At 49.3% G+C, this 25,041-nt stretch overlaps 1 protein-coding gene and 1 pseudogene across 3 annotated transcripts in view, besides 9 other annotated features; both read left to right on the forward strand.

Annotated features, from left to right (window-relative positions):
- ABCA17P (ATP binding cassette subfamily A member 17, pseudogene) overlaps positions 1-20,424 on the forward strand; it is an 85,778-nt pseudogene extending 65,354 nt beyond the window's left edge. Inside the window, exons 11-17 of the transcript NR_003574.1 lie at positions 328-634; positions 3,901-4,174; positions 4,346-4,550; positions 16,305-16,492; positions 18,303-18,492; positions 18,702-18,811; positions 19,284-20,424. The product of NR_003574.1 is annotated as an ATP binding cassette subfamily A member 17, pseudogene (transcript). The remainder of the gene's footprint in view (positions 1-327; positions 635-3,900; positions 4,175-4,345; positions 4,551-16,304; positions 16,493-18,302; positions 18,493-18,701; positions 18,812-19,283) is intronic.
- Positions 16,084-16,133: an enhancer, noted in NCBI's record as "active region_10265". NCBI's record gives its function as "activates an Ori minimal core promoter by ATAC-STARR-seq in GM12878 lymphoblastoid cells {active_cell/tissue: GM12878}" and the evidence as "EXISTENCE:reporter gene assay evidence [ECO:0000049][PMID:35858748]".
- Positions 16,415-17,180: an enhancer, noted in NCBI's record as "H3K4me1 hESC enhancer chr16:2472691-2473456 (GRCh37/hg19 assembly coordinates)". NCBI's record gives its function as "activates a minimal SCP1, AML or CMV promoter by ChIP-STARR-seq in primed H9 embryonic stem cells {active_cell/tissue: H9 hESC(primed)}" and the evidence as "EXISTENCE:reporter gene assay evidence [ECO:0000049][PMID:30033119]".
- Positions 16,853-17,147: a silencer, noted in NCBI's record as "tiled region #9505; K562 Repressive DNase unmatched - State 8:EnhW". NCBI's record gives its function as "represses a minimal TATA promoter and a strong SV40 promoter by Sharpr-MPRA in K562 cells {active_cell/tissue: K562}" and the evidence as "EXISTENCE:reporter gene assay evidence [ECO:0000049][PMID:27701403]".
- Positions 18,304-18,416: an enhancer, noted in NCBI's record as "conserved acetylation island sequence C01". NCBI's record gives its function as "activates a minimal heat-shock promoter by reporter assays in Jurkat T cells {active_cell/tissue: Jurkat}" and the evidence as "EXISTENCE:reporter gene assay evidence [ECO:0000049][PMID:17135569]".
- Positions 22,233-22,812: an enhancer, noted in NCBI's record as "H3K27ac-H3K4me1 hESC enhancer chr16:2478509-2479088 (GRCh37/hg19 assembly coordinates)". NCBI's record gives its function as "activates a minimal SCP1, AML or CMV promoter by ChIP-STARR-seq in primed H9 embryonic stem cells {active_cell/tissue: H9 hESC(primed)}" and the evidence as "EXISTENCE:reporter gene assay evidence [ECO:0000049][PMID:30033119]".
- Positions 22,233-23,487: a biological region, named in NCBI's record as "H3K27ac-H3K4me1 hESC enhancer GRCh37_chr16:2478509-2479088".
- Positions 22,248-22,427: an enhancer, noted in NCBI's record as "active region_10266". NCBI's record gives its function as "activates an Ori minimal core promoter by ATAC-STARR-seq in GM12878 lymphoblastoid cells {active_cell/tissue: GM12878}" and the evidence as "EXISTENCE:reporter gene assay evidence [ECO:0000049][PMID:35858748]".
- Positions 22,638-23,487: a silencer, noted in NCBI's record as "silent region_7043". NCBI's record gives its function as "represses an Ori minimal core promoter by ATAC-STARR-seq in GM12878 lymphoblastoid cells {active_cell/tissue: GM12878}" and the evidence as "EXISTENCE:reporter gene assay evidence [ECO:0000049][PMID:35858748]".
- Positions 23,172-25,041, forward strand: part of CCNF (cyclin F) — a 29,408-nt gene continuing 27,538 nt past the window's right edge. For both annotated transcript variants that reach the window (NM_001761.3, NM_001323538.2), the window contains exons 1-2: positions 23,172-23,222; positions 24,855-25,009. In NM_001761.3, coding sequence (NP_001752.2) covers positions 23,207-23,222; positions 24,855-25,009 — 171 coding nt within the window. In that variant the 5' untranslated portion in view covers positions 23,172-23,206. The remainder of the gene's footprint in view (positions 23,223-24,854; positions 25,010-25,041) is intronic.
- Positions 23,498-23,547: a silencer, noted in NCBI's record as "silent region_7044". NCBI's record gives its function as "represses an Ori minimal core promoter by ATAC-STARR-seq in GM12878 lymphoblastoid cells {active_cell/tissue: GM12878}" and the evidence as "EXISTENCE:reporter gene assay evidence [ECO:0000049][PMID:35858748]".

The raw sequence follows: 25,041 nt of genomic DNA on the forward strand, positions 1-25,041 counted from the left end.
AACCCCATCTCTACTAAAAATACAAAAAATTAGCCAGGCGTGGTGGCGGGCGCCTGTAGTCCCAGCTACTTGGGAGGTTGAGGCTGGAGAATGGCGTGAACCCGGGAGGCAGAGCGTGCAGTGAGTCAAGATCGCACCACTGCACTCCAGCCTGGGCGACAGAGCGAGACTCCGTCTCAAAAAAAAAAAAAAAAAAAAGAAAGAAAAGTTAGTTATATGTAGTATCAGGGAGTGCAAATGGGCATGAGCCAGGGGCCACTTCAGTGCCTCCAGCTTCTATCTGTGACCGTGTTAATGGTGTGTTTCCCTTTTATTTTTTTATTGTAGTTCAGTCTTCTCTGCCAACAATTTTATGCCATGCTCCTGAAAAAGGTCACATATTCTTAACACAACTGGATGTTGATGTTATCAATACAGATCCTGGTCCCTCTGGTGATCATCATGTTAAGCCTCACATTCTTCAACTTCAAAGAAAGAAGCATAGAAAATGTCCCATTGGAGCTGACTCTGAAAACATATGGTCAGACCATTGTTCCTTTCTTTATTTCTCAGAATTCCAGGCTGGATCCTCAACTTTCAGAACGCTTTGCAAATATGTTTATGGTTGAGGGACAGATTCCTCTGGAGGTCCTAGGTAAGTATGTACCAGGCCCAGGAAAATGGGGCATGAAACAATCCTGTTGTTCTTTGTAGTGAAGCTGTGTGCTGGTGGGCCACGTGGTGCTCTCTGAAGTTAGAAATAAATAGCCAGAAATCTCAGAAAACCGTATTTCAAACCCCAAATGACAAGAAAGGTAGAGTCCCTAGAAATAAGACCAAGTATGTGTCTTTCTAGGAATGAAATCATGCCCCCAAATAAAATTATAGCTGTGTGTGTGTGTGTGTGTGTGTGTGTGTGTGTGTGTGTGTGTGTGTGTGTATGTGTTTGAGATGGAGTCTTGCTGCAATGCCCAGGCTGGAGTGCAAGGGTATGATCTCGGCTCACTGCAACCTCCACTTCCTGGGTTCAAGCAATTCTGCCTCAGCCTCCCGAGTAGCTGGGACTATAGGCACCTGCCACCACACACGGCTAATTTTTGTATTTTTAGTAGAGAAGGGGTTTCACCAGATTGGCCAGGCTGGTCTTGAACTGCTGATCTCAAGTGATCTGCCTGCCTCGGCCTCCCAAAGTTCTGGGATTCCAGGCATGAGCCACTGCACCCAGCCCCCCAAAATAAAATTGAGAAACTATTCAATATGTTTGAATTGTATTGAAAGGACAGCTACACTTTTTTTTTTTTTTAGATGGAGTCTTGCTCCATTGCCCAGGCTGGAGTACAGTGGTGCCATCTCGGCTCACTGCAACCTCTGCCTCCCGGGTTCAAGCAGTTCTCCTGCCTCAGCCTTCCGAGTGGCTGGGATTACAGGTGCATGCCACTGTGGCTGGGTAATTTTTGTATTTTTAGTAGAGAAGGGGTTTCACCTTATTGGCCAGGCTGGTCTTGAACTCCTGACCTTGTGATCCACCCACCTCAGCCTCCCAAAGTGCTGGGATTACAGACGTGAGCCACCACGCCCGGTCAAGATCTACACTTCTATCAAGGGAGTTTATGGACGAAGTGGTGATAGATATAAAGAAAACTAGGCAAATGAGAAAAGGAGAATATTATTAACTTCAGGGGGAAAAGTTGTACAACAAAACATAACATACTACTTGGTTCAGTTGTAAATAATTTTTGCTTAGTCATCATAATCTCAAAACTGACTATTGGCCGGGTGCAGTGGCTCACGCCTGTAATCCCAGCACTTTGGGAGGCTGAGGCGGGCGGATCACGAGTTCAGGAGATCAAGACCATCCTGGCTAACACGGTGAAATCCCATCTCTACTAAAAATACAAAAAATTAGCCAGGCGTGGTGGCGGGCAGCTGTGGTCTCAGCTACTCGGGAGACTGAGGCAGGAGAACAGCGTGAATCTGGGAGGCGGAGCTTGCAGTGAGCCGAGATTGCGCCACTGCACTCCAGCCTGGGCAACAGAGCGAGACTCCGTCTCAAAAAAAACAAAAAACCAAAACTGACTATTGATTTAGCGAAAATCATGATGTAACTCTAGTGGGAGGAAGTCTGTGGGGGTTGTAAGAGAGGATACTTGTAAGAGAACACAATCCTTGCTTCCATCATGAAACATCAACAGCTAGGTGATGTGCTGTTTAGCAATGTGGAGAAACACCAGGTAAAAGATGGGAAAAGGGTTGCTTCTGGTGAACAGCCATTGGGGAGGCTCAGGGCTAGGGCAGAGCACTGCTGTTTCTTGTATAGCTATTTGATTTTTAAAATTATATTCACGCATTATTTTGATTAAATAACATTTTAAAGTAATTACTTTTTTAAAATAAAGATTTCAAATGCAGAACATGATGTAACAAAATGGTTGGGATCATAACACCCTGCCTCTCTAAGCCTTGGTTTCTTCATACTCCAAATGGGGAGAAGACAGACTTCACCTCACAGTATCATTGGGTGATTTCGTGAGTGAGTGCTTGTTAAGTGCTTTGCACAGGTGCACCCAGTGAGCACTCAGACAGTGGTGCTGGTACTATTGTTGTTGTCATTATGATTGAAGGTCCCTTCAGCACTAAAGAGTTTAGATTTCTGGACTCTAGGTGGGTTGTATATTTGACTTGGCACTGTGTGCTGGGAATACAGTAATGAACAGCATCATTACCTGAGGCCTTATGCAGAAGTGATAGTTACAATACAAAGTGACAGTGACTGCGATTGGAATACTGTGGAATTACACAGACATATCTCAGTCATGGAGGGTCAGAGTAGGCTCCAGAGTAAGAGCCCACGGTATGAGTAGGCATTGACAAATAGAAGGGAAAAGTAACCCAGAGAACATTCCAAACAACAAGAAGAGCATTTGTAAGCATGGGGCACTGTAAGTCCTTAGGTTTGGCTGGAGCTAAAAGACGTGAGGCTGAGTTTGGATAGTGATGGGGTCTGTACCTCATGTGGAGGAATTTGGCTTTGTCGTGAGGACAGTGGAGAGCCACTGCAAGTTAATTGGTGGGGCGCATTATGGCCAGATGTGTCCTTTCAAACAGAAACCGGAGGTGCCAGATAGAAGGCAAGATCTGGCCAGGTGCAGTGGCTCACGCCTGTAATCCCAGCACTTTGGGAAGCTGAGCTGGGCAGATCACTTGAGGCCAGGAGTTCAAGGCCAGCCTGGCCAAAATGGTGAAACCCTGTCTCTACTAAAAATACAAAAATTAGCTGGGCTTGCTGGCGCACAACTATGGTCACAGCTATTCGGGAGGCTGAGGCAGGAGAATTGCTTGAAACTGGGAGGCAGAGGTTGCAGTGAGCCAAGATGGCACCACTGCACTCCAGCCTGGGCAATAGAGTGAGACTCTGTTTCGAAAAAAAAAAAGCGAGCTCTTCATTGAGGGCTACATAATCCAGGCACAGATAATGAGATCCAGACCCAGTTGAGGCAGTGGGAAGGAAAGAAGCAGACAATTGGAAGAGACTTAAAAGATTAATAGAGCCAGGCACAGTGGCTCACACCTGTAATCTCAACACTTTGGGAGGCTGAGGCAGGAGGATCACTTGAGCCCAGGAGGTCAAGGCTGCAGTAAGCTATGATCACATCACTGCACTCCAGCCTGGGGAACAGAACAAGGCTCCCTCTCTAAAAATACGAATAAATAAATAAAATAAAGGAAGAATAGACAAGACTCCAAGAGTAACTGGAATTCAGGGCAGAGTGGTGGGAGGAGGCCTGCTTTTAGAGGTCGGTGGAGGTTAGTGATGAAGTACCTAGGAGGAGCAGCAGGTTGTGGGAGACTGATAGTGAGTTCTCCCCATCCCAGTGGGCCTGGTGTGACACTCGTCCTGGTGGATATTTTGTTCCCTTCTAGGTTCTGTAGATGAGTTCCTATTGAAAAAGGCAAAAGAGGAGCCTGAGGACTTTGATAAGCTCTACTTAGTGGCAGCTTCCTTTGAAGACGTGGGAAATCACACCATAGTGACAGCGCTGTTCAACAACCAGGCATACCATTCTTCTGCCCTGGCTCTGGCGCTATTGGACAATTTTCTCTTGAAGTTGCTTTCTGGTGCCAGGGCTTCCATTACCGCAGCCAACCACCCTCAACCTCAGCCAGCCAGGGAGGATTCAGAGAATTTCCTGTATCAGTATGTGTGAATTTTCTTCTCTCTATCTACACCTCTGTAGGGTTCCACCCTTTCCCACCTGTTTCTGTCTTTGCCTCTTGTTTTAATTACAAATTGTTATTTTGGGAGATGGTTGTTATTAGCAGTTCCACTTACTCTGCTATCTCTCTCCTTATGTCCCGTCTTTTACAGGGAACCTAAAGGACATTACCTTGTTATCAACTTGCTTTTTGGATTAGCTTTCCTGTCTAGCTCTTTTTCCATGTTGACAGTCAGAGAGAGGCGCGTTAAGGCCAAGCTTGTCCAGTTTATCAATGGAGTTTATGTGGCCACTTTCTGGCTCTCCACTCTGCTATGGGACCTCATCTCCTTCCTCATTCCCAGTCTGCTGCTGGTGGTGAGTGCTGGAGGGTGCTGGGATTCTTCAGCTGCATATCACAGGCAGCTTTTCCTGGGGACCCCTGCCCAGAACCGGAACCAGCTAGGAAGTCTAGGTTGGCAGCTCTGCCCCAGTGGGGACACAGGGTGTGAGATCTCCCTCATCCCTTGGCAGAAGAAGACTCAAGTTCCCAGCTTTGTTAGGAGCAGAGGGATCTGCTTCAGGGTCTCCATGTGGCCCCCCCAAGAATTGCTACTTCAAGCTAGTAAGGGGCAGTACTTTGGGGACATATGTTTATTGTCCAGAAATACCTCACCAGGGTACTGATGGGTTGAAGTACTTAATTGTGGTTGCATTGAGTAATTTTCAGCTCCCTGGTTATTTTATGCAGAATGGACCGCCTCCTGCTTTGTTCTGCCTGTGTGTTTTGTGAGCATCTCTGAACCCCTTATCACACTACACTGTACCACTGATTTCCAGGGCAGCTCCTGGAGAGCAGAGTTTAGAGCTTGTTCATGTCTGCATGTGCAGATGAGCAGAAGGGAAGTGCCCATGCGGTATTTCTAACACCTCACTTTTAAAATTCAGATTCTGATATTCTTTCTCAAGTGTTTAGGATTGACTTTTTTTTTTTTTTTTTTTTTTGAGACGGAGTCTCGCTCTGTGGCCCAGGCTGGAGTGCAGTGGTGCGATCTCGGCTCACTGCAAGCTCCGCCTCCCAGGTTCACGCCATTCTTCTGCCTCAGCCTCCTGAGGAGCTGGAACTACAGGCACCCGCCACCACGCCCAGCTAATTTTTTGTATTTTTCGTAGAGACGGGGTTTCACTGTGTTAGCCAGGATGGTCTCGATCTCCTGACCTCGTGATCCACCTGTCTCGGCCTCCCAAAGTGCTGGGATTACAGGCGTGAGCCACCGTGCCCAGTCCCCTCTGCTTTTAACTTGGGAGTCATTCTGTCTCCTAAGGGACTCTTGGTGATAGTTTTATCTCCACAAACTATAGAGGCAGGAACTGCATCCTCCTTATCATCTGGAAGATGACACTCAAACAACTTGGGAGCCGGCAATTCACCCCTGCTATCTGGACGCAGATCACCTGTAAACCTCATTTCCCTCTGCCCTCAGCTCCCCCACCTCCGCAGATGCAGCCCATGCTGCGGCTGTGCTCCTGATTTTCCCACACACACCGTGTTCTTGCAGATCCTCCCGCGTGAACAATTGGAAAGAAGTAAAGTGACAGATTCGAGGAGCATAGCAGAAGAAAGATACTTAGGTCTTAGAGGTTGAATGACTATAGAGGAAGAGGAGTCAGGGAGAACCAGTTTTCTGGTCTGGAGGCCTGGGAGTCTGATGTTGTAATGATGGATATACAATAACGTGGGTTAGGATAGATAATAGAAGATATGCCCTTTTCTTCCTGCAAGCAGAGTTAATATTTTCTATTCTCTTCGCATAGCTAGGCTATGCAACAATCTCAAAATCCTTGGATTATACATTCCTAATACTTCCAGGGCACTGCCTGGGGATGGCTTTCACCAACTTATATTACAACTCTGAACTACAGAGGTTTTGCAGTGTCAAGAACCTGAGTGATATTGAGTGTAATGAAGTCTGTGAGTATTGTAAATGGAATTTGTTAATTACATTTTTGTTGAAACATAATTCATATAAAATATGCCCTTTTAAAGCTTACAAGTCAGTAATCTGTCATGAGATAAGAGTTTTTTTAAAAAGAATAAAATTTACAAGTCAGTGGTTTTTGGTATATGCAGAGTAACCTTCCCCACTATCTAATTCTAGAAAATTTTCATCACTCCAAAAGGAAACCCTATACCCATTAACAGTCACTCCCCATTCCCTTCTTCCCCCAGCCCCTCGCAATCACTAATCTGCTTCCTGCTGTTATGAATTTGCTTGTTCTGGATATTTCACATAAATGGAATAATACAATGTGTGAGCTTTGTGTCTGTCTGCTTGTACTTAGAATAATGTTTTCAAGGTTCATCCATGTTGTAAGAGGTGTCAGTGCTCCATCCCTTTGCGTAGCTGAATGTTAGTCCATTGTATGGTTTCACCACAATTTATCTTTTCATCTGTTGATGGACATGTGGGTTGTTTCTGCTTTTGCTATTACGAATAACAGTATTATAAACATTTGGATATGAGTTTTTATGTGAACATGTTTTCAGTTCTCTTGGGTATATACCAAGACTATATTTGCTAGGTCATATGGTAACTGTGTTTAGCATTTTGAGGAACTACAAAACTGTTTTCTACATTAGCTGAACCATTTTACATTCCTACCAGCAAAGTCTGAGGATTCCAGTTTGTCCACATCCTCTCCAACGCTTTAAAAAATTATTTACTTTTTAAATTATAGTACAATATACATAGCATGAAATTTCATTTATCAATTTTTTTTCTTTTTTCTTTTTTTTTTTTTTTTTTTAGACGGAGTCTTACTCTGTCTCCCAGGCTGGAGTGCAGTGGTGCAGTCTCAGCTCTCACTGCAACCTCTGCCTTTTGGGTTCAAGCGATTCTCCTGCCTCAGCCTCCTGAGTAGCTGGGATTACAGGCATGCACCACTGTGCCTGACCTCCTTTCAACATTTCTTATAGGGCAGGTCTGGTGGTAATTTTATGCCCCCTTTTCCAACATTTTTAAATTCCTTTTAAAAATTGTATTATAAAGCCATGTACAGTGGCATGCATCTGTAGTCCCAGCTGTTCAATCTGTAGTCCCAGCTGAAGTGGGAGGATCGCTTGAGTCTAGGAGCTTGAAGCCAGCTTGGGCAACATAGCAAGACCCCATCTCTTTTTAAAAAAAATTATTATAGCTATTCTAATGAGTATAAATTAGTATCACATTGTGGTTTTGGTCTTTGTTTTCCTAATGACTAATGATGTTGAGCATCTTTTCATGTGCTTATTGGCTATTTGTATATCTTCTTGGGAGAGCTATTTAGTCAAATCCCTCCTCCATTTTTAATTAGGTTATTTGTCTTTTTTCTTTTTATCAGGAAGTTGTAAAAATTTTTTTTTTTTTTTTTTTTTTTTTTTGGACAGGTCTTACTCTGTCATCCAGGCTGGAGTGTAATGGCATAATCACGGCTTACTGCAGACTCGACCTCCTGGGCTCAAACCATCTTCCCACCTCAGCTTCCTGTGTAGCTGGGACTACGGGTGCATGCCACTGTGCCCGGCTAATTTTTTAATTTTTTGTAGAGACAGTAGTCTCACTATGTTGCCCAGGCTGGTCTCGAACTCCTGGCCTCAAGCAATCCTCCTACCTCGGCCTCTCAAAATGCTTGCAGGCATAAGCCACCACACCCAGCCAATAATTCTTTACAAAGTTGGATACTAGACCTTGTCAAATATATCATTTTCAAATATTTCCTCCTATATTGCAGGTTGTCTTTTCACTTTCTTGACAGTGTCCCTTGATGAACAAAAGCTTTTAATTATGAAATTATGACAAAGACCAATTTATCTATTCTTTTCTCTTTTGTGTTTTTGATTTAAGAAATTATTGCCTTATGCAAGATAGGGAAGTTTTACCTCTACATTTTCTTCTAAGAGTTTTAGCTTTTTTTTTTTTTTTTTTTTTTTGAGATGGAGTCTTGCTCTGTCACCCAGGCTGGAGTGCAGTGGCGGGATCTTGGCTCACTGCAAGCTCCACCTCACGGGTTCACACCATTCTCCAGCCTCAGCCTCCTGAGTAGCTGCGACTACCGAGTAGCAGGCACCTGCCTGCTACTACGCCCATCTAATTTTGTTTTTGTATTCTTAGTAGAGACGGGATTTCACCATGTTAGCCAGGATGGTCTCGATCTCCTGACCTCGTGATCCGCCTGCGTCGGCCTCCCAAAGTGCTGGGATTACAGGCATGAGCCACTGCGCCCGGCTGAGTTTTAGCTCTTACATTTAGGCCTTTGATTCATTTTAATTTTTTATATGGTGTTAGGTAGAGATCCAAATTCATTCTTTTGCATATATGTGTAATTGTCCCAGTGCCATTTGTTGAAAAGACAAAAGTTTCTGTTTTGGTGGAAGATTTTTAACTACAAATTCAATTTCTTTTCTTTTTTTTTTTTTTTTTTGAGATGGAGTCTTGCTCTGTCACCCAGTCTAGAGTGCAGTAGCACAATCTCAGCTCACTGCAACCTCCACCTCCTGGTTCAAGCAATTCTCCTGCCTCAACCTCCCAAGTAGCTGGGATTTCAGGCGCATGCCACCATGACTGGTGAATAGTTTTTCCTTTTTTTTAGAGGTAAGGTTTCACTTTTTCCCTGGAACTGCAGGCAGGTGCCACCATGCCAGTCTAATTTTTGTATTTTAGTAGAGATGGGGGTCTTGCTATTTTGCCTAGGCTGGTCTCAAACTTCCAGGTTCACGTGATTCTCCTATAGATTCCCCAGAAAAGAGCAGCAAACAGACTTGGCCTCTGTCCAAAGGGAGGGTGCCTTCGGGGGCTGCTGGAGCAGCATGTTCCCTGATAATCAGTGCTGGTGGGTGGTAGAGAACAATGTAACCACCTGCTAGGGGACAGTCAGGATTCCTGTGGCCACATGCCCAGCACAGACTTTCAAACAACCTTTGGGCCCCTCCCCTCATTTTTTTTTTTTAAGAAAGAAGGTCTTGCTCTGTTGCCCAGGCTGGAGTGCAGTGGTGCAATTATGGCTCACTGCAGCCTAGAACTCCTGGACTCAACCAGTCCTCCCACCTCAGCCTCCTGAATAGCTGGAACTATACAGGTGCACACCACCGTGCCTGGCTCAGAAGTATAGTTTTCTACCTTTATGATGTGGAAGACCCTCCAGAGCTTGCCATGAAACCCAGAAACGACAAAGTAGTATATAATATTTAAATACATAAACATTCAAGTCTATATAAGAAAAGACACATTAACTGATGTTAAATAACGGAAATACTTGACACATACATAAAGGACAAAGACACATACATATATATACATACACACATATATATATATCTCCATCATATAAATCAGTGAGAAAATATGAACAATTTGTTAGTAAAAAATGGGCTGAAGAAATAAATGGGCTATTCATAGAAGAAAAAACATCCAGTGCCTAATAACCATATGAAAATATGCCTAATTTTACCTAAGGATTTATAGACAGATAATATCTAGTATTATCAACAGAATCGGAAATAGGCATCCCCATAGGCTATTGGTAAGATCAAGCTTTTTGGAGGACAATTTGGCACTATTTATTAAATTTTAAAAGTGCACCCCTGGCGGGGCGTGGTGGGTCACGCCTGTAATCCCAGCACTTTGGGAGGCTGAGGCAGGCGGATCACGAGGTCAGGAGATGGAGACCATCCTGGCTAACACAGTGAAACCCCATCTCTACTAAAAATACAAAAAATTAGCCGGGCATGGTGGTGGGTGCCTGTAGTCCCAGCTACTCGGGAGGCAGAGGCGGGAGGCTGAGGCGGGAGAATGGCGTGAACCCGGGAGGCGGAGCTTGCAGTGAGCAGAGATCACGCCACCGCACTCCAGCCTGGGCCACAGAGCGAGACTCCGCCTCAAAAAAAAAAAAAATTAACCAGCACACTCACTCTGAGGGAAGCTAAGTGCCATTGCCATGTCATGCAGACACCTAGGTGGCCCTGCAGAGAGGTCTGTGTGCTGAGGAGCAGTCAGAAAGTACCTGAGACCTGCCAGCCACTTGGAAACAGCTCCTTTAGCCTTCAGGAGACTTCCAGCCCAACTGACAGGTTAGCAGCACCCCATGAGAGACCCTGACCAGCACCACCTAACTAAGCTGCTCTGAGATTCCTGATCTAATGCATAGAAACCATGAAATAACAAATTACACCCACGTTTTGGAGTAATTTGTTATGCAGCAACATATGACTAATCACATAGGAAGGATACAGTGCGAAGGCTTAATATGTGTGTAACAGAAGTTCCAAAAGGAAGGGCAGACAAGGCAACATTTGAAACCACATGGCTAAAACTTTTCAAAATGTATGAAAGACATCAATCACAAATGAAGCCCTATTAGCCCCAAGCAGGATAACAAAAAGAAATCAGCCCCTAGGAGCAGTATAGTAAATTTGCTGAAAACCAAACACAAGAAAAAGTCTTAAAAGGACCCAGAGATAAAACGTGGAGTCCCTTCACAAGAGCAACAGTTACACTGGCAGCTGGCCCCATCACAGAAATAATAGAGGCCAGAAGACAATAGAATGATACATTGTAAGTGATATAAGAGGAAACAACCTACCTAGAGTAAAGTAACCCATAAAACTACACTTAGGAAAGAAAGTTTTGTTTGTTTGTTTGTTTGTTTGAGATGGAGTCTCGCTCTGTTGCCCAGGCTGGTACAGTGGCATGATCTAGGCTCACTGCACCCTCTGCCTCCTGGGTTCAAGCGATTATCCTGCCTCAGCCTCCGGATTAGCTGGGATTACAGGTGCCTGCCACCACACCCAGCTAATTTTTGTATTTTTAGTAGAGACGGGATTTCACCATGCTGGCCAGGCTGGTCTCGAACTCCCACCCTCAGGCGATCTGCCCTCCTCGGCCTCCCAAAGTGCTGGGACTACAGGTGTGAGCCACCAGCACCCGGCCAGAAGGTATTTTTAAAAAGACCTTCAGACAAATAGAAGCTGAGAGAATTTATCACCAGCAGATGTATGCAAAAGGAGATAATAAAGAGTAAGTTTCAGGCAGAAGGAAAATGATCCCAGATGGAAACTCAAAGATTCAGAAAGGGCTAGGTGCGGTGGCAGAGCTCATACCTGTAATCCTATCACTTTGGGTAGCTAAGGCAGGTGGATTGCTTGAGGCCAGGAGTTCGTTCGAGACCAGCCCAGGCAACACAGTGAGACCCCCATCTCTACAAAAAATAACAAATTAGCTGGGTGTAGTGGCCTGCTCCTGTAGGCCCAGCTACTCCAGAAGCTGAAGTAGGAGGTTCACTTGAGCTCAGGATTTGAAGTTATGGCAAGCCATGCTCATACCACTGCACTCTAGCCTGGGTGACAGAGCAAGACCCTATTAAAAAAAAAATACAGAAAGGATGGCTGGGCGGGGTGGCTTATGCCTGTAATCCCAGCACTTTGGGAACCCAGGGTTAAAAAAAGGAGTAAAAAGTGATTATTTATTTTTTTATTTTTTTTATTTTTTTTTGAGACAGAGTCTCGCTCTGTCGCCAGGCTGGAGTGCAGTGGCGTGATCTCGGCTCACCGCACCCTCCACCTCCTGGGTTCAAGTGATTCTTCTGCCTCAGCCTCCCGAGTAGCTGGGATTACAGGCACGCGTCACCATGCCCGGGTTATTTTTGTATTTGTAGTAGAGATGGGGTTTCACCGTGTTGGCCAGGATGGTCTCGATCTCCTGACCTCGTGATCTGCCCATCTGGGCCTCCCAAAGTGCTGGGATTACAGGCATGAGCCACCGTGCTGGGCCAAGTGGTTGTTTTTTTTGTTTTTTTGTTTTTTTTGTTTTTAAAAGGGAGATGTGTGGCCGGGCGTGGTGGCTCACGCCTGTAATCCCAGCACTTTGGGAGGCCAAGGCAGGTGGATCACGAGATCAGGAGATAGAGACCATCCTGGCCAACACGGTGAAACCCCGTCTCTACTAAAACTACAAAAAAATTAGCTGGGTGTGGTAGCACGCGCCTGTAGTCCCAGCTACATGGAAGGCTGAGGGAGGAGAATCGCTTGAACTTGGGAGGTGGAGCTTGCAGTGAGCCGAGATTGCACCACTGCACTCCAGCCTGGGCAACAAGGCGAGACTCCGTCTCAAATAAAAAAAAAAAGGGGGGGGATGTGTCAGTTTTGACTGAAAGCTATAATAATAATGTCTTATGAGGTTTAAAATACATATAAAAGTAAAATACATGACAACAATGGCTTTAAGTCAGGAGCGGGTAAAAGAAGTTAAAGTATTTTAAGGTCCTTACCTTACTCATGAATACGGTAAACAGCTAATGATATCCATTGCTAAGTCAAGGATGCGTGTTTTAATCTCTAAAGGAACAACCCATGTAATAGGAGAAAGGAGTACATATTTTTAAGCTAATAGAAGGGAAAAATAGAAAAATGAAAAAAATAATATGATCGAAGAATTGAGAAAAAGGAACATAGAACATATGGGCTAGCTAGCCCTGAATAAGATGATAGATTTAGGCCAGTCATGGTGGCTCACACCTGTAATCCCAGTAATTTGGGGGGCCCAGGCGGGAGGATGGCTTGAACCTAGGAATCTGAGACTAGCCTGGGCAACATAGCGAAACTCCACCTGTACAATAAATTTAAAAATTAGCCGGGTGCAGTGGTGTGTGCCTGTAGTCCCAGCTACTTGGGAGCTGAGAGGATCACTTATGCCTAGGAGGTTGAAGCTGCAGTGAGCCATGATCACACCACTGCCTTCCAGCCTGGGCAAGAGAGTGAGACCTTGTCTCAAAAAAAAGTTTTATATATATATATATATAAAATACATATATTATATATATATATTAGATTTAAATCCAAACATCAGTACTTACATTAAATATAAGTGGACAAAGACTCCAGTTAAAAGATTAAAATTATCAAAAAGGATACTCAAAAGGTTAAACATAGAATTACCATATGACCCAGCAATTCCATTCCTAGGTATATAACCAAAAGAACTGAAAAACCTACATCCGCACAGAAACTTGTATAAGAATGTTCATAGAACTGGAAATACCATTTGACCCAGCCATCCCATTACTGGGTATATACCCAAATGACTGTAAATCATGCTGCTATAAAGACACATGCACACGTATGTTTATTGCGGCATTATTCACAATAGCAAAGACTTGGAACCAACCCAAATGTCCAACAATGATAGACTGGATTAAGAAAAGGTGGCACATATACACCATGGAATACTATGCAGCCATAAAAAATGATGAGTTCATGTCCTTTGTAGGGACATGGATGAAATTGGAAATCATCATTCTCAGTAAACTATCGCAAGAACAAAAAACCAAACACCGCATATTCTCACTCATAGGTGGGAATTGAACAATGAGATCACATGGACACAGGAAGGGGAATATCACACTCTGGGGACTGTTGTGGGGTGGGGGGAGGGGAGAGGGATAGCATTGGGAGATATACCTAATGCTAGATGACGAGTTAGTGGGTGCAGTGCACCAGCATGGCACATGTATACATATGTATCTTACCTGCACAATGTGCACATGTACCCTAGAACTTAAAGTATAATTAAAAAAAAAAAAAAGACAGTAAGTTCCTTATTAAGGAAAGGTTATTCTCTTGTCTGAGTGAGAATTATGTTGAAAGATAAATAACCTTTAAAAAAAAAAAAAAAAGAATGTTCATAGAAGCATTACTCATAGTGGCTAAAAGTGGAAACAACCCAAATGCCCATCAACAGATGAATGGATAAACAACATGTGGTCTTGCTGTATGATATGGAATATTCCTCAGCCATAAAAAGGGATGAAGCACTGACATACACCACAACATGGATGAACCAGAAAACCAGACACAGATCATATGCTGTGTGATTCCATTCATATGAAATGTCCAGAATAGGCAAAGCCATGGAGACAGGAAGCTTATTAGTGGTAGTCAGGTGCTGGAGGTGTTAAAGGGAACGCGGAGTGACTACTCATGGGTACAGGGTTTCTTTTGGGAACAATGAAGTGTTTAAAGTTGAGTGTGATGATGGATGTGAACGTGCTGAGAGCAGTTGAACTGTACACATTGGTGAATTATGTGGTATGTGCATTGTATCTTAATAAAGCTGTTATAAAAAGAAGGAGGAAAAGGGGGAAGCCCCACTCTGGGAACCAAAGCCGGGCCCTTAGTTGTGTGAGGTCTCCGTAACATTCTTCCACACTGACAGCCGTCTCCCTTACCTCTCTTTCACTAAGCAGACACTCCATGTGGTTTCCTTTCTTTCCCTCCCTCCCTCCCTCCCTCTCTCTCTTTTCCTTCCCCTTCCTCTCCCCCTTCCCCTTCCTCCTTTCTTAGAGTCTCCCTCTGTCTCCCAGGCTAGAGTGCAGTGGCATGATCTCAGTTCACTGTAACCTCTGCCTCCTGGGTTCAAGCAATTCTTATGTCTTAGCCTCCGGAGTAGCTGGGATTGCAGGTGTGTGCCATGTTCGCCAGGCTGGTCTCAAACTCCTGGCTTCAAGTGATCCACCTGCCTAGCCTCCCAAAGTGCTGGGATTACAGGCGTGAGCCACCGTGCCCAGCCTCCATGTGGTTTTCTGTTTTGCACTCTGTAAAATCCTTCCCATCCTCCAACCTCAGGCAGTGGAGCCCAGGGTTGTCCAGCTGTTTGAATAGGGAGAAGAGGGGAGAAAATAGGAGGGAAAAACAGTGGTTACTTCTCAGAAATGGCATCCCACTCTTTCCAGCACCTGGGAGTAGATGAACATGGACACAAACCAGGGTGGTCAGCTGCAAGTTCAGAAAGGCAAAAACCTGAGGTCAGGAGTTTGAGACCAGCCTGGCCAACATGGTGAAACCCCCTCTCTACTAAAAATACAAAAAATTAGCTGGGCGTAGTGGCGTGCACCTGTAGCCCCTGCTACTCAGGGGGCTGAGAGGAGAATGGCTTGAACCCAGGAGGCAGAGGTTGCAGTGAGCTGAGATCACACCACTGCAATCCAGCCTGGGCAACAGAGTGAGACTGTCCCAAAAAAAAAATAAATAAATAAAAGCGAAAGCCTGGAAATGAGTCAAATGAAATTTTTAAACAGCTAAATGAAATCTAGAAGCCTTCCCTGGATAACTAAGAAGCAGTTAAAATAAGTGGGGGTAGATCTGTATTTACTGACCTAGGAATATCTTTAAGACATAATATTGAGTAAGAAAAGCATGTTGGCTGGCCACGGTGACTCATGCCTGTAATCTCAACACTTGGGGAGGCTGAGGCAGGTAGATCATGAGGCCAGGAGTTCGAGACCAGCCTGACCAACATGGTGAAACCCTGTCTCTACTAAAAATACAAAAATTAGCCAGGTGTGGTGGCGTGCACATGTAAACCCAGCTACTCAGGAGGCTGAGGCAGGAGAATTGCTTGAGCCTGGGAGGCAGAGGTTGCAGTGAGCCAAGATCACGCCACTGCACTCCAGCCTGGCGACAGAGCGAGACTCCATCTCAAAAAAAGAAAATAAAAAAGAAAAGCATGTTACAGAATGGTAGATATGGGATGATACCATTTGGCAAAAACAGCACCCAGCCAGTCCTGAGCAAGGAGCACAGGCCCACGCAGGTGCCTTTGCCAACACAGAAGTGTAGAGGGTGCACAGCTGCCTGGCCACAGTGGGCTGAGCCAACAGACTGCAGGAGTCTTTGCATGAATATTTTACAAAGAAAATCTATTTGCAGATTACATGCCTAATAGAAAATATTTCTAAAGGGGAAAAAAGCAAAGCAAGCCTCTTGTATTGACTGGATGCTTCAAAGGCACCAGGAAGTAGGGAGGCACTGTGTGCTGAGGTTTCACACTGGGTGGGCTGGAGGAGGAGCCAAACAAGCGCTCCACCCTGTCCACAACACCAGCAGCAAGGGCTGTCCCAGGCTCCCTTACATTACTCTACTTCCACTCACAGCCCCTTAGTAGTGTGCCTGTGCATTCACATGGCAGATGCGGGTAGTGGCAGAGGCAGCAGCCTGGAGCAAGACCAGCAGGTGTCCAGGCCCTTGCCTCATTGGAGGCTTGGTGAGCCTGGTGGGAGGAGGTTTCTTCTGACGTGCCTCCCTCTCCGGGCTGTTTTCTGACCCAGGTATGGCGGTGGATTGGTTACTGTCCTCAGTTTGATGCTCTGCTGAACTTCATGACAGGCCATGAGATGCTGGTCATGTATGCCCAGATCGGGGGCATCCCAGAGCACCCCATCAGTGCTTGTGTGGACCAGATTCTTGAGGATTTAGTCATGTACATGTACGCCAACAAGCTGGTCAAGACCTACAGGTGAGATCTGGGGCTTCCTTCAGGCCCTCCACCTCCAGTTACAAGATAAGTTCCAGTTCTTCCCAGACCTGGAGAGCAGGGCAAAGCCCCCAGCTCTGGGCATGAGGTCACTGCGCAGGTGGTTGGGGGCGGCCTGCAGGAAGAGGTAAGTGGCCTGGGCTGCCTCAAGGCACCCCTTCCTCTTGGTCCTGGGCTTGACTGGATTATGAAGCTGACCCAGGCCAAAGGCAGCTTACGTGGCTGAGGTCAGGCAGATGGCACCACAGGTGTTACTGTCCTGATAAGGTGAGGACGGACCTTTCTCCCTGCCACTTTATGAAGGGCTATTTTCAGTAAGTTTGCATTTTAAGCCCAGAGTTACCTCATACCACTGGGTCTGCGGTACTTGAACTACTGATGTTCTGCTAAGGCGCATGGGGTATTTCTCAGGCTTCTGTTGTCAGTGATAGAAGCCCGACTCCAATTAAAGCAAGGCCACAGGCCCCGCAGGTCCAAGGACTCCCTTCGTGTTGTGTGCAGCGCCCCCGGAGGCACACAGCGGTACTGCACACCCAGGATTGGGAGGTAGAGGTGCCCACGCCTCTAGCAAAGTGAGCCCGGGGTCAGATGATGATGTCCCTTGGGTCTTCTCTCTTTGGTGGCTCCTGTTTCAAGCAGGTTTTTACGTTTCCCTGCATCTTCTGAAGATCAAATGAGTTCACATTTGCGAAGTTTAGAACAGTGTGTTGCACATAGTAAATGCTATATGGTTTTTTTGTTTGGTTTTGTTTTTTAGAGTTTTCACTCTTGTTGCCCAGGCTGAAATGCAATGGCATGATCTCAGCTCACTGCAACCTCTGCCTCATGGGTTCAAGTAATTCTCCTGCCTCAGCCTCCCGAGTAGCTGGGATTACAGGTGCCCACCAACACGGCCAGCTAATTTTTGTATTTTTAGTAGAGACAGGGTTTCACCATGTTGGCCAGGCTGGTCTCAAACTCCTGACTTCAGGTGATCCACCCGCCTCAGCCTCCCAAAGTGCTGGGATTACAGGTGTGAGCCACCATGCCCATCCAGTTTTTTTTTTTTAAGTTAGCTAAGATGGGCCAATGCCTTTCCTCTCAGATGGAGAGGTGCTTGCCCTCAACACTTCAAACCCTCAAAGAAGACTCGTCGGCCGTGTGCTCACCCTGGACTCATCCCTGTGTCCAGGGGAACAAGTTATTTCCTGAGTGGATAGCCCAAGCCACAATTCAGCTCTGGGTGAAAGTGGTGGACTGCATTGCTGAAAGCCCCATGAGGGGTGTGGGAATACTTCCTGAATAGAGAAGGAAAGGGGGTGAGTGTTGAGCCGGCAGTGCTCACTGCTGGAGACTGACCATTGCCGTCACCCAACCTTCTCCCTTCCACCCCCGGTGGTGGTAACAAGCCGAAGTTGAGCACTGGCATTGATCGCCCTGATTGGAGAGCCTGCCTTCATCTTCCTGGATGAGCCATCCACTGGCATGGACCCCGTGGCCCGGCGCCTGTTCTGGAATGCTGTGGCACACGCCCACGAGTCTGGCAAGGCCATCATCATCACCTCCCATAGGTAGAGCCTGGGTCTGTGGGTCACTGGAAGTTTCAAAACCAGGTAGGCTGGGAAGAAGCCAGGTGGCCAGAAGACCCATCAGCAACTGGTGGAGAGTCTTTGAGGAGATTCCCTAGGCTCTGCACCTGAGCCACACTCTGAGCATTGGTATCAGGAATGGCCTGATCAGGCCACCAACGCCTTCCTGTCTGCATGAGCCTTTGACACCCCCAGCCCTGTCTCAGGCCCCACCCTCTCCCCAGCATGGAGGAGTGTGAGGCCCTGTGCAGCCGGCGGCCATCATGGTGCAGGGGCAGTTCAAGTGCCTGGGCAGCCCCCAGCACCTCAAGAGCAAGTTCAGCAGTGGCTACTCCCTGCGGGCCAAGGTGCAGAGTGAAGGGCAGCAGGAGGTGCTGGAGGAGTTCAAGGCCTTCGTGGACCTGACCTTTCCAGGTGTGTGCCGGCCCCGGCAGCCCCCACTGGGTGGGCCCTGGGCCCCTGCCTAGGCATTTCCCATCTGCCGTGAGGAGAGTCTGTGCCTCGCCCCTCCCACGTCCCATCTCCCTGATCCCTGGGATGAGGACCCCAATGCCGAGCACCCAGGCACCCTCCCTGATCCTCCAGCCCAGCCGTCACAGCAACGCCATCTCTCCTTCGTGCAGGCAGCGTTCTTGAAGACAAGCACCAAGGCATGGTCCATTACCATCTGCTGGGCCGCGACCTCAGCTGGGCGAAGTTGAGCGCACATTTTTGACGTGACCCACTTTCTGGGGTAACTCTGTCTCTCTCTCTCTCTCTCCCTGTCTTTCTCTCCTCCCCATCCTCCTGAAGTCATGTTCAGTGCTGCCCCTGTCCTCTGCCATCTCCATGGCAACGTTCACGTGGATTTCATAGAACAGAAGGTGTTTCTGCTGGAAGGGACTTTGAAGATTGGCTCCTCCTGCCCACTTATTTCATGGAGAGGAGAGCAGGCCCAGAGAGGGAACACCAGATGCCTGGGGACACACAGCAAGCCAGGGACCCCACCAGGCCTCTGGCCTTCTGACACCACTCCCACCCAAGAGCACAGACAGCTGAGATCCATAGCACTGACTTCTCAGGAGGTGTTCTGGAGCAGCTGAGAGAGGGATGGGCCTCTTTGGGGCCTTGTCACAGTCCCGGAGGCCAGCCCTTCCCACCCTCTCTCCTCCCCCGTGTGCATCTGTGGGACAGCCTGGCCACAGCAGCCTCTTCCCTCCCCTCAGGTGTTTGGCACTCTGGAGCAAGCCAAGAAGTACATGCTGGACAACTACTCAGCAGTCAGGTCACCATGGAGGACGTCTTCCTGAGCTTCGCATGCCCTGTGCCCCTGGTCCAAAGCGAAGACCAACGAGAGCAAGCAGAGCAGGTGGGCTCCTCATCGTGCTCGCTGCCTCCTTCCCTGCCTCCCTCTCGGCTTTCCTCTCAGTCTCCCTCCCTGCCTCCCTCTCAGCTTTTCTCTCGGCCTCCCTCCCTGCCTCCTCCCTCAGAGCCTGTCCTGCTGTAATAAGGACAGACCAGTGCCAGGTTGGCCCAGGTGTGCATGGCCTTCCCTGGGTTTCCAGGGCGTACAGAGGCAGCTCTCGACCTAGCTAGCTCAGCACAGGGCTGTCCCCCTAACTGCAGTGCACGGAGCAGAGTGGGGCCCACTGGAGAACTTAAGAGGCCCGCTGGAGAACCCAGGTGCGTTTCCTTAGAAAGGGATGCCCAAGTCCCACCTGAGTAGCCTGTGGTCTTATTGAGACCTGGCTGTGGAAGCAGCCTCAGAACATCTTGCATGTCCTTTCCAAGGGCGGTGGCCATGGGGTGACTACAGTACTAACCATGACCCGACCAGGTGCCAACTCTGTGGTTGGTCCCCTGCAGGCATTGCGTCATTTGATCACATCACCCTCAGGCCCGGCCTTAAGGGGTCTGTCCTGGTCATCCCCTTGCTCATGGGCAAGAAGTCTGCAGGGCAGAGGGAAATGCTCACCCAAAGCTTGCGCTCTTCCTTCTCTAGAATCCCCTGCCCAGATGGTTTGTCCATCCAGTGCACTCCCTCCCAGGGCAGGCCATGCCGCCCAACGCACCCTGAGATGCGAGATGCAGCAAAGCAGTGGCTCTGCAGAACTTCGGGTAGAGTTTGGATGGGTGCGTGGAGGTTTCCACACATGTGTGCAGATCCCTTGGAAAGCAGGATAGAGCCAGAAACAGAGAGGAGGGTGCCCGTAGGCCGCTGGGGGCTGGCTCCCATGGTCACATGCAAGAGTGAAGCTTCATGGAGACCATGATTCTAAACTCACACCTGGCCTCACAGGTGGTAATGTCACTGTTCTTCTGAAGGAAGGAGGAAATAAATATTGACAAGTTTGCTAGCCTAAGTCGGGATGTCACAATATTTAAATATTTGGATGTGTGGGCTTTCATCCTCTTCCCTGGCTCCTGCAAATTTAGGGCTGCATGTGATCCTATATCCACCCATGAAGTGGACAGCGCCCCACCTCCCACATGGGTAGACTGGCTTAGAGGCAGCCAGTAACTTCCCACATCAACAGACAGGGGAGCCAGGGTTGCACTGGGGCAGAGGTTCTCGCAGTGGGGTCCCAGCAGTAGCAGCACCATCAGGAAACTTGTTAGAAATGTAGGTTCTTGGGCCCCACCCAAAACTTACTGAATCAGAAATGCCTGGGGCAGGGCCAGCAATCCATGTTGCAAGAAGCCCTACAGCAGGTACTCTGGCGCAGCTCCAGCATGAGAACCACTGAGCAGAGGCCCCATGGGCGCCAGACCATCACACTGTCCAGATGCAGATGGATGTGGCCACATGCCTTTGTCATGTACACTCACCTCTCTTCTGAGACGGGCTCCATCCCGTGGCCTTTCTCTCTCTGTGGAGTTCACTCTGCCCCTTGCCACAGGCCCCTCAGCTCCTCTCTGGGAAGTGCAGATGCTGGTCTCTGCCCCTTCTCAGCCAGGACTCAGGAAAGGGTCATGCACAGGCCTTGCCTATGGTTCCTGCACCCCTTGCCCAGAACAACGGCGTTGCACACCCATGGTCGCCAACCCACCCTCCTCAGTCCTCGTTTCAGGTGACTGCTCCCTGTGATGAAAGCCACTCCCTGGGCTCCCATATCCAGCTCTCATTCCTCCCATGCCCCTCTCTGCCTCCACTGAAGGCCCATCTTCTTCTCTGAATGTGGGATTTCTCAGGCTCCCAAGCTACTTCACTTTCCCTTCTCTCCCCTGCCCCTCACTACCCATAACGTTTTCAACCGACACCTCATTCCACCAGGAATTTCCCTGAGCTCCTAACAGTTTAGACTTTTCCAACAAGGTCTCACCTTCCTGAAGCCCAGTGGGAAACGGGCCCACACCCTGGAGGAGCCACTTATCACCCCAGGGCAGCCCTGGAGGCTCCCACTGCCAGTGCAGGGTGTGGGGCGAGAGCAGGCATGGCTGCAGTCAAGACAACTCCTGCTCCCTGAAAAAGAAATTTGCCTGTCCATGTTGAAAGGAGAGTGATCAGGACACAAAGCACAGGATAGAGCTAAACAACAACCTAGGGACCAAGGATGCTGTTCTAGATTCTAGAGGCAGCTGGTGTGGCTAATGTGCTCATGGCTGGCTCTAGTTGATTAATCCCTTCAAGATGCTATGGAAGCTAACCCTGAAAGTGCACCTCTGCCCTAGGGGGAGACAGGTAACAGTGACAAAGTAGGAAACAGTAACCCAGGAGGACAAAAGTGAGATAAGGGGATAATAAATCTGGGGGCTGAGAACATGGGACATCTGGGGAGCAGGCCCCAAACTCGCTCAGCCTGTCCTCTCTTCACCCTCCTTCACCCGCTTCCTGATTCCGGGACAGGGAATATTCCCAACTTCCAGACCCTCTCTGGGGCCACGGACTCTTCTGTACCCTGTGCTGTGATCACCTGTTTACTCTGTCTCTTGCCCCAGGCCGGCTGAAGCCTGCACGCCAGGGCTCCTGTCTGTGTGCCCAGGGCAGGCCCAGTACTTGAAGGAGTTCTATGGGGACCCGGAAGGATGGAAGGGTGCAGACTGAGGGAAGCGTGAGGGAGGGGTGGGCAGCCTTGGCCCAGGCCCCTGCCTTCCCCAGGAAAAGCCCCCTCTGTCCTCCACCAGACAGTCAGGAGGCTGCGAGTCTTCCCCTTGACAGCCTGTGCCGTAAAAGGGGTGCGGTGTGGCTGACTCCTGAAGGACAGCTCAGATGGGCACTGCCCAAGACAAGAGTGAGCAGATACGACACTTCCCGCGGCGAGCAGCTCCAGGTAGCAGCCGAGGAGGCCAGACAGGGGGCAGCATCTGGCCAAAGTGATGGGGAGGGCTTGCCCCGGGGCTGGAGCACTGAGGCGTCCAGGGTGCGCCACGTTTCGCGGGAAGAAGGGGTCAGCGTTCCGCGGGGGAGACTTCCCAGCGTCAGCTCCGACCTCCTCTTTCTCTACCACGATCCCGGCCAGCATCCCCGCCCAGCAGCGGCTCAGCCACAAACCCAAGGGTCTCCACCTGAAGCAGGCGGCGGAAGGGAAGGCCGTGCAAGCTGGGGGTGAGGGTCGCGGGCCCAGGAGCGACCCCGGGACCCGGGCAGGGCACGGCCTCGTCTTAGAAGCGCCACGTCGAGGCTGTCCCAGGCTGGATCACGGCCGCGACTGCGAGGGACGCCAAGGAGTCCTCTTTCCCCTGGCCGCAGGCGTGCGCCTTCGCAGCCCATCTGGCACCGCAGATGCCGGTCGCCGGGGTCAGCGGCGAAGCCCGAACCCATGCGGCCGGGAGGGGACGCCCACAAACCCCTGCCCGCCGGCCGGGAAGCGCTCCTACGGGACCCCAGCCCCGTTGGGGAGGCGGGGCGGCCACGCGGGTTCCACCAATCAGCGGCCAATGTTCGAATTCGCGTCCTGGCGCGGCCAATGGCGGGTCCCGGAGCAGGCGGGGAGGGCGTGGAGGGCGGTAAATGAGGCGAGCACAGGGCGGGACATGGGCGGGGCCGGCGGCGGCCCCCCCGGGCAGGCCAATGGGAGGGCCGGGTGCGTTTGAAAACTGGGGTGGGCGGCGGGGCGGGGTCTGCGCCTGCGCGAGGGCTACGCGCGCTCCGGCCGGGGCGCGGGCGCGCTCTCAGGCGGGCTCCGGCGGCAGCGACGCGAGCGCGGCGATGGGGAGCGGCGGCGGTGAGTGCGGGGCGATGTCCGCTGGTTTCTGCCCCACACCCCTTCTGCCTGCCCTGCGGGGCGGACGGTGGGTCCCGCGGGAGGGGAGGCCCTGGCGGCCTGAAGAGGGCTGGCTCGAGCTCTTTAACCCGGGGCGGATGTCGCGTCCCGCGCAGGGAGCCCCGGCGGCCGGGCGCGCGGTTTAAATGCCCGGCGGGCGCCCGAGCCCCTCGGAGCCTTCCCCCGCGGCGACGTTTTCCGGCCCTTTCCTGGGGCAACGATCGGGTCCCGGGGCAGCGATCCGGCGATCGGGTCCCGGGGCGGCGATCGGGTCTCGGGGAGCCAAACACCAGCGCCTCCTGGTCGGGGAAAGGGCTGCGGAGCGCGTGGGGGCGAAGCGATCCCGCAGCCCGGCCGGGCCCTGACCGAGCCTCAGTCCAGCGGGGCCGTGGACCTAGCTCTGTGGAAAGCAGCGTTCGGCCCCGCGCGCGTTGAGGCACAGGAAACACGAACTGTGGTTTCAGCTATTATCATAGTATCTGTCCTGGAGCCGGAGAATGAGGAATATTTTATGGAGAGGTCTATAGAATCTTTGAGAATTCGTCGCCCTGGAATACGTTTGGCTTTTGCAGCTGATTTAATTGCTAACAGGAAGACCCCGGTCAAGAGAGGGGAGCCGGGAGCAATCGCTAGGAAGTCCTAGCAAGGCGGGGAGGGATTTGGGCCCACAGAGGGGAGTGGCGCTTCCTTTCAGGACTGGAAGGAAGGATGGATAGAAAGGTAGATTTGTAGATGGGGAGGCAGGATCCTGAGGTTCCTGTCTGAGGGCTTCTGTTTCCCTGTGAAATAAGGGCTAAGGTCATCTGCTTAGAGTGAGGAAGGGGTTGCTGGAGTAGGAGTTGGAAAATCCGGCTGTGGGAAGAGGAGAGAGCACATCTGAGAAGCATGTCCGGGCTGCCTGCCTGGTGGGTGGAATGCCCGTCTCACCTTTAATGATTGCATCTGTACACAAACCTACAGGTCTAGGTTTGTGTTGGGACCTGAGCAACAACCTTACTGCGTAGCTGTCAACTCCGCATTCTACAATAGAGGGCACACTGAGACTCTGCAGAGCTGAGACTTGGACGCACACTGCCCCGGCCTCCAAGTCTGTGGCTTCTCTCCAGGGCCGACCCTTCTAATTTGGACTTGAAAACCAGACTCTTCAAGCCCACAGATCTTTATTGAACATTATGCACCTTGGTCACGTGTGCAAAAAGCAAAGCTATCCAGCAAAGGCCCCAGGAGTTTTCCTGAGAGTGAAATAGAAGGAAAACCGTCCTCAGCTTCGGCAGCTTTTTCCCCTTCCTGCCTGTCATGTGGGCTCTGGATCAGAAAGTTTCCCAATAGCCAAGTTACATGACATGCGCTATTTGCCATAAATATTTGTTGAATATTTGAAAATGAATGATCTCTTCTGTAATTTGTGCAATGCCACTCCTTTACATAATCTTTGTTTGGGACAAGAAGCATAGTTCCATCTTTTGTGGCACAGGGAATAGTAACCATTAGATCATCTTCAGATGTAACTTTTATCCTTTTTTTTTCCCTTCAAGGGTGTGTATATAGAATAATTTTTCATCTTATCAAGGCTTCTGTCTTTTTTTCCTTCAGTGGTCCACTGTAGGTGTGCCAAGTGTTTCTGTTATCCTACAAAGCGAAGAATAAGGAGGAGGCCCCGAAACCTGACCATCTTGAGTCTCCCCGAAGATGTGCTCTTTCACATCCTGAAATGGCTTTCTGTAGAGGACATCCTGGCCGTCCGAGCTGTAAGTCCCTGCATGAAAACACTATGAGCCCT

Source organism: Homo sapiens, chromosome 16 (genome assembly GCF_000001405.40).
Source record: "Homo sapiens chromosome 16, GRCh38.p14 Primary Assembly".
NCBI lineage: Eukaryota > Metazoa > Chordata > Mammalia > Primates > Hominidae > Homo > Homo sapiens.